This window comes from Homo sapiens, chromosome 14 (genome assembly GCF_000001405.40).
Source record: "Homo sapiens chromosome 14, GRCh38.p14 Primary Assembly".
Lineage (NCBI taxonomy): Eukaryota > Metazoa > Chordata > Mammalia > Primates > Hominidae > Homo > Homo sapiens.
Window position 1 is genome coordinate 96,174,253 of NC_000014.9, and position 13,174 is coordinate 96,187,426.

At 49.2% G+C, this 13,174-nt stretch overlaps 1 annotated feature.

Annotated features, from left to right (window-relative positions):
* Positions 1,434-1,934: an enhancer, noted in NCBI's record as "H3K4me1 hESC enhancer chr14:96642023-96642523 (GRCh37/hg19 assembly coordinates)". NCBI's record gives its function as "activates a minimal SCP1, AML or CMV promoter by ChIP-STARR-seq in primed H9 embryonic stem cells {active_cell/tissue: H9 hESC(primed)}" and the evidence as "EXISTENCE:reporter gene assay evidence [ECO:0000049][PMID:30033119]".

Here is a 13,174-nt window from a genome sequence, read left to right on the forward strand (position 1 = left end):
GTCCAGGATTCAGAAGGGAATTTTAGAGTCAGCGTATGGCAGATGGCATTTGAGCGGTGGGGCTGCGTGAGCTCCCCTAGAGGTTGTAGACAGAGGGAGGAAGGCTGAGGCTGGCCCCAGGGCGCTGTACCTTCCAGGGGTCTTCTTGGCGAGAAGGAAGATCCAGCAGAGGAGACAGACAGGCAGCGGCTCGTGAGGCAGGAAGCCTGGAGAGGGAAGAGCTTCCGGAAAGACAAGGTTGGTCACATCACATGATATAGGAGATTGAGTCAAACGAGGACAGAGAAGTGAACACTCGCTGTGGCCACATAAGGCATCAGTTACCAGTAGAACCATCTCATGGGGTATGATGGAGACAAGAACCCAGGTAGAGAGGCTCTAGGAGAGGGTGAGAACGTGAGCCAGCAGCCAACGTGACTCTTCGAGGTGCTGTGAAGGAGGCAGAAAAGGAGGTGGTGAACAGAAGAAGATGGACAATCCAGGGGTGTTCAAAAGGGGCTGTGCGGGCTACTTAGGGACGTCTGGCAGGAAGGTGTCATTGATGACAGGGGAAAGAGATGGAAATAAGTAGAGAAACAAAGTCCTGGAGAGGGGGAGAGGGAAAGGGATCCTGAGCCATGTGCTTAGAAGCAGAGACCCATCTTCCACGTGGAGCATGTGGAGACCAAACATGCTGGCAGGCTGGGACCTGCTGAGCACTTCTCATCTGAGTACATAGACTCTCTCTATCAAACATGACAGGAGGCCACTGGCCAAGAGAGAGAGAAGAAAGCACCGTGGAAGATGTAGAGGAAGGAGTGGTGAACTAGGAAAGTGAAAGAGTACATTTCTAGGGAAGTGTGATGGATTTAGAGAAAGTGTTCATTGCCCTCTAGAGATCTGTGCTCCTAAATTTAAAGTGAGAGCAACTAGCAGCATTGTACGATGTTTCCCAGCCATAATCAGCTTCCAGGTGAGGGCTGAGGAAGAGCAGAGTTGGGGCAGAGATGTTTTGGAAGGTCATGAGGTGGAAAAATAGGAGACGATAGCAAGAGGGATTCTTGGAATCAAGACTGAATGGGGGTTGGGCGCAGTGGCTCACGCCTGCAATCCCAACACTTTGGGAGGCCAAGGCAAGTGGATCACCTGAAGTCAGGAGTTCAAGACCAGCCTGGCCAACATGGTAAAACCCTGTCTCTACTAAAAAAAATACAAAAATTAGCCAGATATGGTTATACATGCCTGTAATCCCAGCTGCTCTGGAGGCTGAGGCAGGAGAATGGATTGAACCCGGCAGGCAGAGGGTGCAGTGAGCCAAAATCGTGCCACTGCACTCCAGCCTGGGCAACAGAGCGAGACTCGATGGGTGGCTGGGCTGGGTGGCAGAGATGATCACTGGCTGTCCCTTGAGATCAGGCAACTGGAAATGCTTGGGATTAGACAGCGAAGTGGCTGCTGCTGGTGCCCTGTCCAAGCCCTTTCCAGACCCCAGGAGGCTGTGCTCTGTGCACTCTGCAGACCTTGGCCAATGCCAGCCTCATGGCTGCCACAAAGTTTGCCCCGGAGATAGAGGCACTAACTCATTGGTGCGCCAGAGCCCCCCATGGGATGAGGCAGAAGCTGGGCTCCAACCAGACCACCTGCTTAGCTTTTTCCACCTGCTGTATCCTGCTTCCTTTGCCCCCCTTTTCATGGGAGTACTCCCCAGTAAATCATCTGAGCAAGAATCCAACCTCAGGCTCCGCTTTAAGATCTATGAATTTTCATGTGCCAAGAACCATGATGGGGGTGGTGGTGGAGAAAGAGCCAGTGAATCCAGTACTAACAATATCGGTGAGCAAGGAGGGTGATGGGGCAGTCAGGAAATGACAGCTGGCAGGAGTCGGGGTCATGAAGAAGGACCATGCCTGTCAAAGGGGCTTTGAAAAGGAAGGAGACAGGTAGGGGACTGGCTGGAGGGCAAGGAAGGTATTGGCCCTACTACTTCCAGATCCTGCAATTATGGAGTGTGATAGAAAGAATTAGCCACGTAAGAAGATTTGGGGGAAAGCAGGACTTTCAACAGACAGCCAAGTTTGGGATGGTATAAGAGGGTGAAATGATCAGAACTCATGATAAACCAAGAGTTTTGGATGGCTCACAGGAAGGGGTGGATAAGCAAGGAAGGATGGGTGATGGGGTCAGATTAGGAAATATTCAGAGCATCTGTAGGAAGTGGAAAGTCTCAGATGATTCAGGAGGCTAAGGTTCTGCCAGAAGCTGAGGGGAAGGGACATTTAATTCTTGGTGGATTTGGTCCTGGGGCTGAGCGCTCATACTGACAAGTGCCCCAGGGCAACAGACTCAGCAGAAGGATGTCCGCCATCATGGATGGGAAGAGCAACTTTCTCAGGCCATTTATCCAGGTTCCTGAAAAACTAATTTAACTGGTTTGCATACACAAAACCAAGGGTTTAGTTGGGGTCTCCCTGCCTCTTGGGGATTTGGAGGAATTTCACCCAAACTCCCAACGTGTGGGCACTGAGCCTCCCAAGGATTCCTCCCCACCCCACCCTCCAACCCTCAAAATGATTTTTCTGGCTGTTTGACAGCTTGAATCTCCAGCGCTGCACTCCTGTATCCCGGAGGGACTGACTGTTTCCTGGCCTCAGCTCTCTGAACGTGAAGCTCAGGCTTTGCTTCAGCTGCCAAATTTTGTGAGTTGAGCAATTTAAGGCACAGAGGAGCAGGAGGAAGAGGGGCAGTGTGCGTGCATTGCTCTCTGCCAAGCTGGGGCTCACCGTTCCTCTCTTTTTCTCACCCCACTGACCTCAGCGTGAGTGCATGTGCACACACACACACACACACACACACACATGCTCACACACATCAGAGTAGTCAGCATCTCCCGTGGTCTGAAGGAGGATGTTTCTGCCCACACGCAGGCCCTGGGGGCTCAGCTTCCATTCCAAGTGCCTGTCCAGGAATTTATTTCCAAGACATACAATGCTCTTATTGAAAGAAATTTGGAAAGCAGTTTTGTCCCTCTGCGAAAACAATGTGGTGTCGTGGTCAGGGGTACAAACTCCGGGATCACGCCACAGCAAGGAGCTGAACCTTCCTGAGCCTTGATTTCCTAATCTAGACAATGGGGGTGATAATACCACAGTTGACATTTTCCAGCACTTTTCTTGGGCTTGGCACTAGGCCAAGCACTTTATAACCATCATCTTAGTTAATTCCAACATTAGCCTTACGAACTGGGAATTACTCTCACTGATCAAAGGATAAAAATGAAGTTCAATGAGTTTAAATAACTTGCCCACCATCTCCTGGTTTTTAGTTGGCTGAGCTAGGATTCCATGGCGGGTCTTTTTCACTTTGAAGCCTTTGCTCTTAAACTCTCTGCACCATACAGAGTCAGGAGCCCTCGGAGCACCTGCTGGCTCTGCCACTAACTTGACCCCCCTCCCCTTGGGCCTCAGTTGCCCAATCTGTAAAATGTAAAAAAGGTCCCTTCCAGCTCTATCTCAATTGAATTTTTGAAAATGGCAGTCTTGGCCTTGAAAGAGTTAACACAGATGCATGTGAGTCAAAAGTCCCTTCTTACTCTGCTTTGTCCCAAGTTTCCTAAGATAGCTTTGAAGACCAAAAGTGCATAACGGCTTAAGCTTGAAGGCAGAGTTTAGGAGGAGGTGAGCGTGCAAATAGCCACTGCAGTTCTTCTGGAAGGCCAGTACATTATCCCTAAATATTGCTTAACTTTTTATAGTGTCCTATTTTATCAGTGATGAGGCTTCCACCATGAAATCACAATATTAGAAACCGACTCAGAGAGCACTTGGGTTTAACAGAGAAACAGGCAGGGGAGGGGGGTTTCCTGAGGCCGCTCACATGCCAGGCTTCATCACAAGTTCAGTACACGGAGGGGAAGCTCAGGTCCTGAGAGGGTGGGGCGTACCCTGCTCCACCCACACACAAATCGCGGCAGAGCCAGGACCCTGAGCAGATCTTTGAGCCCAGGGCGTTCCTTCCGAGAGCTCCTCTGCCAGTGCCTGTCCTTTCTCATCTGTGTTTTTCCAGAATTTCTTAAACAACACTGGGGGATGAGGGGGGCTGCCCAGTGACCAGGGCTCTGGGCCCTACCTGGCTTCAACCTGAGCAACTTTGTTTTTATCAATCTAAGATTTTGTTGGAAAAAGGCTTTGGTTGCTTACAAAATTTTTTAAAGTTTATGTTCCAGCCTGGGTAACATGGCCAGACCTCATCTCTACAAATAATTTAAAAAAAAAAAATTAGCCAGGCATGTTGGCTCTTGCCTGTAGTCCCAGATACTAAGGAGACTGAGGAAAGAGGTCGAGATTGCAGTGAGGTATGATCGCTCCACTGCACTCCAGCCTGGGTGACAGAGCCAGACCCTGTTCCCCTGACAAAAGCAGTTTGGAAATGCAGCTACACTTTCCACATTCATTTTTTTTCTTGCTCCTAAATTGATTTCAGCAAAAAATGGAAGCTCCCTGACACCAGGAATGCAGAGAAGGGAGACATACAAAGCAGCTCTGCATTTGGGGCAAGGAATTCAATTGCGCTGTAGCAGTGTGAGTGTGTTTGTGTGTGATATGTGTGTGCATGGGTGCACGTGTGCATGCCCCACACCCACTCACAGCGAGTCAGGGTGACAGGTTTTGCACAGACATCCTGATCCTTGCTAAGAGGTAACCACAGCTGGCACCCATGGCCTTGTTTATGCTCCCAGATGCTGAGCAACACAAATGATAAATCCAAGCAAGTTGTTTGCCTGCAGAGTTCCCGGCCTGCTCCAAAGTTGCAGCTGGGGGAAACCCACAGGGCTCTAGACCCACCCGTGCAGGTAGAGCCCTTCCATGTGCTTGAAGATGGCACAGCGGGAAAGTCCCAGCAGCCAGGCCATCTGGTGGCTAAGAAATGAAGTTCCAGACAGAGCCCTGGGTTGGACACAGTCTGGTCTCAGATCAGACCTTGGTCTCTAGACCCCTGGCATGTCCTGGGCTTCAGCGGCCTTCCCCAGATGTCTTCCGGAGCCCTCAACTTCATGTTCACCCAGCTACAACCATCCCTCACCTCAGTGAGCTTCTGACTCTGTTCCAGCGCACACCTAGGCCAACAGGAAGCCACCCAGACCCCACGGCATGATGTGCGAAGCCCTTCATAGCCTGGGCCCACCAGGAAGGCACTCCATCAATTCACTCCTGACTTTATTCCTGAATTCAGGGATACACAAATGCATGATCCAGGATCTGTCTCCCCTCTGCGCCATCCAGAGCCTTGCCAGCACTTGGCAGAAAGGAGGTGGGATCAGAGCTGATGGAGAATAGAATAAATAAAAGAACCAATGAAATATGCAAGAGTCCACTGAACACTATAAAGAACTGAAATCATAAACGAAAGAAATTATTACTATTAGGAAGAATGTGATTATCACCTGCCCCACTGGGCAACTTTTTTGGCCCTGTGACAGGGCTTTATGGAAATAAATAATTTAGCTTTAAGAAAATCAGTCAACCAATTTTAGAAAGTAATGACACCTGTTTTCTCATTGTAGAAAACTTTGAAAACATGATGACAAGATTAGTCACATATAGTCCAAACAACCAGATATAGCCCAATGACACTGGGTGTATTTTCTTCCAGTCTGCTAGGCAAGTGTGTGAATGTAAAAAGTAATGTAAGTGGGATGAAATTGCATACTGTTTTATATCCTGTCATTTTCAGGTAATATTTTGCTGTTTATACTTTGCTATGTTTTGACCCCTGAAGTCAGGTTCCAGCATCCCCACTTTCTGGCTCTGTGACCTTGGGCCATTCATTTCACCTTGCTGAGCCCCTATTTCTCATCTCAGAAATAACCACACTCTTACTGGAGCCAATATCAATTTTCTCCTCTTTGTGAACATATTGTTAAACTATATTTCCCAGCCTCCTTTGCAGCTAGATGAGGCCACATGACGCTCTTCTGGCCAATGGGATGTAGGAGGAAGTGATGTATGCCGCTTTTGTGCTTGGCTCATAGAATCTCCCACCAATGGTCCTCCAATTTCCCTCCTTACCCTCCAGGGCCCCCATGCTATTGAGTTGCACTAAGGCATTCAGGAAACCATGAGATGGAAGAGCCACCAGCAGGACCCAGGATGGAACAGATCTGGGTCCCCATGTCAGACCCTGGAGAGGGAGCCAAGTGGCCTATGATGTGAACAAGAAATAAACCCATGCTGCTTAAAGGTATCAGGATGTATTTGTTGCTGCAGCCCAGCTTAATCTGACAGCTACTTACCTCGTAAGGCATGCTGTGCCATTTAAATGAAATATGTGACATCAGTAGCCCATAAAAAGCACTTCAAATCTGAGCCATTACAAATTAAAGAACATTAAAGGATAAATAAGCCATTTAGTAAATTGGATAATACACACCGTAAGGTTTGTGGGACTTCAGGGAAGAGAGAAATCACTTTGGACAGCAGCGAGCAGTAAAAGGCGTGTTGAGGGGAATTTCTAGGATGTGTGTGGCTGTGGATCAGAAGAAGATTTGGAGATGTTTCATTCAACCAGTGTGAGTTTGCCAACCTCCAGGAGGCAGGAAGAGCAGTGAATGGGGGTTGGCGGGGGGGCCCTGTATGATTACAGGAAGGTGAGAAAGCACCCGACTGGAGACTCATGCCCAGCTCCCAGGGCCTGCCCAGCAGAAGCTGATCCCGCCTCACACAGAACCTAGGCTCCTCTCTCCAATCGGCCTCTCTGTCTGTTCAGCTTCAACACAAAGCCTGAGGACCCCCTGACATTCCAACTCCCTCAGCCACGCCCAGTCCTTCATGAAGTCCTACAATTCCAGCTAGTAAACACCTCTCCAAACAGAATCAGCATCACCACCTCCCTCCTACCATCTTCGAACAGTCACCTTCATCTCTCCCCTGGGCTGCTCCTTCTGTACCTCTCCACACACATGCCCGCCAACCACACACATGCACGCCAACCACACACATGCACGCCAACCACACACATGCACACCAACCACACACATGCACGCCAGCCACACACGTGCACACCAAACACATACATATATGCAGGTCCATCTCCCACAACAGCAGAGCGCCCTGGGAAACGCCCATTGGATCATGTACCACACCCCATAAATACACACCATGATGATTAATGTAATGTGTCAAATCAGCTGAGCCACTGTGTCTAGATGTGTCGTCAAACATTATTCTGGATGTTGCTGTGAGGATGTTTTTGGAGATTAACATTTAAAGGGGCAGACTTTGAGTAAAGCAGACTGCCCTCCCCAGTGTACAGGGGCCTTACCCAATCAGTTGAAGGCCCAAATAGGATTAAAAGACTGACCTTGTGCTTAATATTCATCTTTCCCAAAAATCAATGTCCTCCATCAAGGAGCCGACAGAGCCTGCTTTGTTCACATGGAGTCCCCAGTGCCTGCGGTTGGGGCATGTCATAGGCCTGCATACAATTTAAAAGACTAAATAAATGAATATCTATTATAATCCAAATATGTATTTCCAGCTGGACACAACAATGATCGTTCCTTCTCATTTCCGATCACATATTGTTTGGCTGCATGACGAATGCTCACACTCAAAAATGTCTCCATCATTACACAATCCATGATGGGAAACTGACTAAAGCAGGTTGCCTGTGGCAGCAACCCCACCCGGGACATTCAGCCACGTAGCCAAGCGTCCCTGCTGCCCCTCCTAGCCTTTCCCTCCCCAACCCTCACCATCCAGCCGAACATCCTGATCTCAGATGCCAAGGCCCCCAGGTCTCCCCCCAGCTTCCCTCCTTCCTTTCTAATAAGAGGAGACTCCGCTCTGAGGCTAATTCTCTGTGTAGCCTGGGTCATATTCCTTAACCTCTTTGGCTCTGGATCCTCCTCTATAAAGTGAGAGACTGGATCAGAGGGTTGTCGGAGGCCCCCTGGCCCTGACTATGCGATCCACAATCATCTACGTCTTTCTGCACCTTGGCCTGACTGCCCCTTCTCACACTGCCAGGACTTCCGGTGGCTCAGAGCCAAAACCCACTACTCAGCCGTTCCAACCCAAGTGATTCTTAAGCCACCGCACCATGCCATGCCAGCCTTGCCAGCCTGGAGGTAAAATCAGGATCACAAATATAAAACAGGATTCTTCTCCCTCTTTCCTTAACTGCAATTGTAGAAGTGGACTCAGCTGTCCTCAATGGGTCTCTCCCACACACTCACTCATATATGCACATACACATACACAAACACTCACACATACACATTCACATCACATTTTCTTTGTTTCAGGCAGGGTGTTTTCATTATGAGCAACAGAAACCAATTCTGGCATATCTAAGGAGGAGGGAGAGAGGAAGCAGAGAAGGACCATGAAGAAGAGGATGAGAAAGAGGAAAAATTGGAAAGTCTCCCAGAATCACAGGAGCCTGAACAGCGAGGTCTTGGGAAGGACAAGGAGCAGCCGGGTCAGAGATCCAGGAACAGGAACCAGCCAGCGACCTCTTCAGAGCTGGACAAGCAGGATCACCAGCCACCACTGCATCCTTGTTTTTGTTATCAAATTACGTCATACACATAAGAGATTATATTCAGAACATATCAGTATCATTTCAAAAATATACAAATAAACTGGCCTCCATGGATCCAACAACCAGGTCAAGAAATAGAACTTCACCAACAGGTCTGAAACCCCCAGGAGCCAGTTTAGTCTGCAAAGCCTTAACTCTTGTCCATCCTCACCTACACGCACTCAAGGGTCAAGCTGCTCTTCCAGGAACTTGATTGGCCCAACTCAGTCATACGCCAACCACTTGATTTTAAGTCTCAATGAAACTTCGTGCACTGGGGAGCCAGAAGGCCACCAAAAGGCAATTGGGGTACTACTATGAGAAATGTGGACCTGAGTACTGGCTGGCACAGCAAGTGTCCCCTGGTAGGTTACCCTTGGAAGACTTGCCCCAAAAGATGCTTCTTTCACCTGTGTTTGAGGAGTTTTTTTTGGTTTTGACTTGCTTTTCTTTATACCTCCTCTTTGACTTAGATGTGTGTCCATGGGACTGAGCCAAAACAACGCTTAAATGGCAGACAGCAGGCTGTGCCCACAACCTCTTTTCTCCTATTTTGGCCATTTTTGTCTTGAACTTAGCAAAAATGGATTATTCCGCTAGAAGGAGTTATTTCCCAAGAAATCCCTGGCTTCTTTATATAAAGACGCCACTGATGGGACTGGCCTATGGCTTGAATCCTAAGGTGTGCCCAGCACCCCCTTCCCAACAAAGAAGGCAGAGATGAGTTGAAGCCAACGTAATGGTTTCTCCTGTTGCTCAGTGTGATCAGGATTACTAGCTGTCCGCCAAAACTTATTCCCCTGATTTCTTAGTTACAGGCATGTAGCCAGTGATGGGCTGCCCAGTTAGATAACACTCCCCAGGCTATCTTGGATGTGATATGTGCTATTTGCAGGTCTAGAATTTAAGCCTCAGGGCACGCTTCCTTCTCACTCTCTTTTTCCTTTTCTCATAAGCTGGAACCTGGACATGGCAGTGACCCAACTCTAATCACAGAAATGACCAAGGTGACCTGGAGAATAATGGAGTGCCACCACCCTGACAAGCTGAATGGCTCGCTCCAGGACTGTTACGTGAGAGCGAGAGATTGCAAGCCAGTCCTCACGTAAATGAATACACCTACAATCAAAAAGGCCTTTATCTCAGTACCTAGAGGAGGCATCCCATGATGTGGAACCAGGAAAAGCCTTCTGGTCAACAGATACCAACCCAACTTCTAGCCATTTTGTAGGACCTTGGCCTTTTGGTAAAAGCATTTCACCCCAGCACACTGACCAAGAAAGTGCACATGAATCCTGAATAGAATAATGCATTTCTCTATATTTCATTAGCCGAGATAAGGGGATCTGAAAGAATGATACACAAGACTGACAGAATTTTGGAAGGCAGGACAATAAAAAAAAACGCTAAGACTAAATTATAGTCTGACGAAGATTGAGGAGATAGGGCACTGGGGATACCAGAGATTAATTTGTAAGAACTGCCAGGTGCAGTGGCTCATGCCTGTAATCCCAGTACTTCAGGAGGCTGAGGCAGGCAGATGACCTGAGGTCAGGAGTTCGAGACAAGCCTGGCCAACATGGTGAAACCCTGTCTCTACTAAAATTACAAAAATTAGCCAGGCGTGGTGGCAGGCACCTGTAATTCCAGCTACTCGGGAGGCTGAGACAGGAGAATCACTTGAACCCAGGAGGGGGAGGTTGCAGTCAGCCGAGACTGTGCCACAGCACTCCAGCCTGGGCAGCAAGAGTGAAACTCCATCTCAAAAAAGAAAAAAAAAACTTTGTAAGAACCATGAGGGGAAAATGAGAAGCCAAAGAAAAGGACACAGAAAAAAACAATGAGAAGCATAGACAAAAAAACAGATGCGAAATCTGCTTGCAAAGTAAACCTTAGATTCAGAGGGAGAACTCTCACCAACAAGGACAGAGGGGAAGGGAGATAGAGACGGAGACAGAAAGGGAAAGAGACAGAGTGAGAGAGTGAGAGAGCAAACAAGGAGGCTGGTGTTAATGATCACATTTACCCACATCAAACCCTAGGATTTCCATCTGCTCCCTGGTGCCCAAGTTCCATCATTGCCAAGATGGAAACCATCTGGCTGTATGCACGCGGCCCTCCCAATGTTTTTCCCACAACACTGGTGTTTTTCCAGCTCCCCGACCTCGTGGGGAATTTCATGCCTGAGTCAGAGGCACAATGTCAACCGGGCCTCAATCCTCTCCCCCACTGGTCTGTCATTGCCAGTGGAAGCCATTGCCCAGTGTGTTGGCCCCGCGCACATTCACTGAGCCAGTCTCCCTCTGACCCCTCACTCGGCTGGTTTCTTACGGTGCCATCTGCCCAGAGCATAACCAGAGACTCAGGTATTGTCCCAGGTCAGGGGAGGAGGGAATGTGAAGAGCCTGGGTGGGCGCTGAGATAGGGGACCTGCCCGCAAGAGCTGACCCTTCTGTCTCTCAGTTGTGTAACCTGAGGCAAGTCACTGCTCCTCTCTGAGCCTCAGTTTCCCCATATATAAGATGGGACTGGTAATACCTATTTCACAGTTGTGTTTGAGGATTAAATAACTATTATAAGAAGACTTAAGCCAAGTTCTAAGGAATAGGAGAGGCTGACTCATAGCTGATAATCTTGTATTATTATTGGTAGGCAGGTGAGGAGGTAAAATCTTCCTGGCTGGCTCCATGGTTTTTTAAAACATGCCCCTAGACTATATCTTTGTGTGGGTCCCGGTCCAGGCAAAAGCCTCCCCAGTCAGTGGCCAAGCCCCAGGGCCAGGCATGAACTCCCATGACCTGGAGCCACAGAGAACGAAAAGCCTTGAGCTGTCCTGATGTTGTTGCCCTCATGAGTAATGAGGAGGCACTAAATGAGCACAATATTAAGGAGATGTGGTGGGACCCAGAGTGACCTTGGGGAGGCGGGGGCAGGGAAGGGAGCAACGTCCCTGTAGTGCCAGGATCTGGACATTACACAGGGCACGTAGCTGCCTCTATTTTCAGCCTTTACTAACCTGACTCAAGTATGCCACATTCTCCTCCAAAGATGCAGGAAGGCAGTTCTGGAAGCTTCCTCCTACCCATGGTCATGGATCAATTGCCTAGAACCCAGAATAATAGTTCCTGAGAGATGCATGCAGGCACTGTGCATGCATTAGCTTGTTGAATCCTGGCACAAGCCTAGCAGATAGGTTCTGTTGCAGCTGCATTGAACAGACGAAAAATCAAGCTAAGTACCTTGAGATCTGCAGCAGAGGCAGAGGCAGAATTTGGACCAGGCAGTCCACCTCCCTGGCTGCTGCCCTGCCTGCCATTCTGGGACCACAGGGGACCTCTCTTCACCATGCTTCAGAGGGCTTGGGTGTCAGCACCCCGAGTTCTGGAGGTTTGGCTGACATGGACCCCAGAAAGCTTCCAGGACAGAGAGAGCCCATCCAAGTTCAGTCAGCTCCTCCTCAGGGTCACACGGGCTATGCCCTGGGTTAGCAGCCTCTGGGCTGGATGAGATGGACACACAGCACCTCTGAGACTCCACAACATCTGATCTTAGCACCACTGTGTCTGCAAGTGGATTTGAGAATGCCACAAACACCCAAGAGGCTGTTTCTTAACCTCTCAGAAGCTTCATGTGCAATTTAAGGCTTTTATTTCCGAGCTGGGAATGGACTACTTTGTCTGTTGTAAGATAGCTTAGGGCAGCAGTGAGCATAGTGGTGATGCCTGGCAGGCCAGGGGCCACCAAAAGTCCATACTCATTCTAGGAGATAGCCCACTGCATCTACTATGCACCAGACACTGCTCTAAAAGCTCAGAGTCCACTGGTGAACGAGATAGGCAAGGTCCTTGATGTCTTGGAGTTTACGTTCTAGTGAAGGAGCACCTCCAGTGAGCGAGTAAACCCATGGCCCTCAAAAGCAGGACAGTGGTAGGGCTACGAGGAAGACAAACAATGGTAAAGAGATAGAGGTCAAAGCCTCCGTGCATGTGTGTGTCTGCGTGCGTAGCATCCATGGGGTGTGTACGTGTGTTTGTGTGATGTGTATGTTGGTGGAGTTTGCATTGGTGTGCACATTGTGTGTGGTTTATCTGTGTGATGTGTATGTGTGTGTTGTGTGTGGTCTGTGTTGGTGCGTGTGCGCTGGTATGTGCGACGTGTGTTTCTGTGTGTGTGCATATGTGTATGTGTTGTGGGCTACTTCCGATTGGGCGGTCAGGCAGGCTTCTCTGGGAGAAGTGTCACTTGAGCCAAAGTGGCCAGGGGACCCGGCTATGGAAGATGAGACAATCAGGGTGATGGTTGGAACTGGCCGCCCCCAGGATTAGGAGGCTCCCAGCTGTGGCATGTGGTGCCCCATCAGCCCTCCTCTTATGTGAGGTCGCTCCTGGTGAAGGAACATGAAAGGTGTCCTCCCTTCCAGGGTCCACAGAAGGGCAGAATGCAAACCCAGGCCTGAGCTTCCCAACCCTTTTGAACTGCTGGCAAGATTACAGCTGTGCTGGTGGAGCTTCCCAAACACCCGGAGGAAACCCATGCCCCAGTGGGGCCTTTCTCCAAACAAGTCATTGTTCTTAACTGCCTCTTGCAGGGACCCTGCCCAGCAGGCACAGCCCTC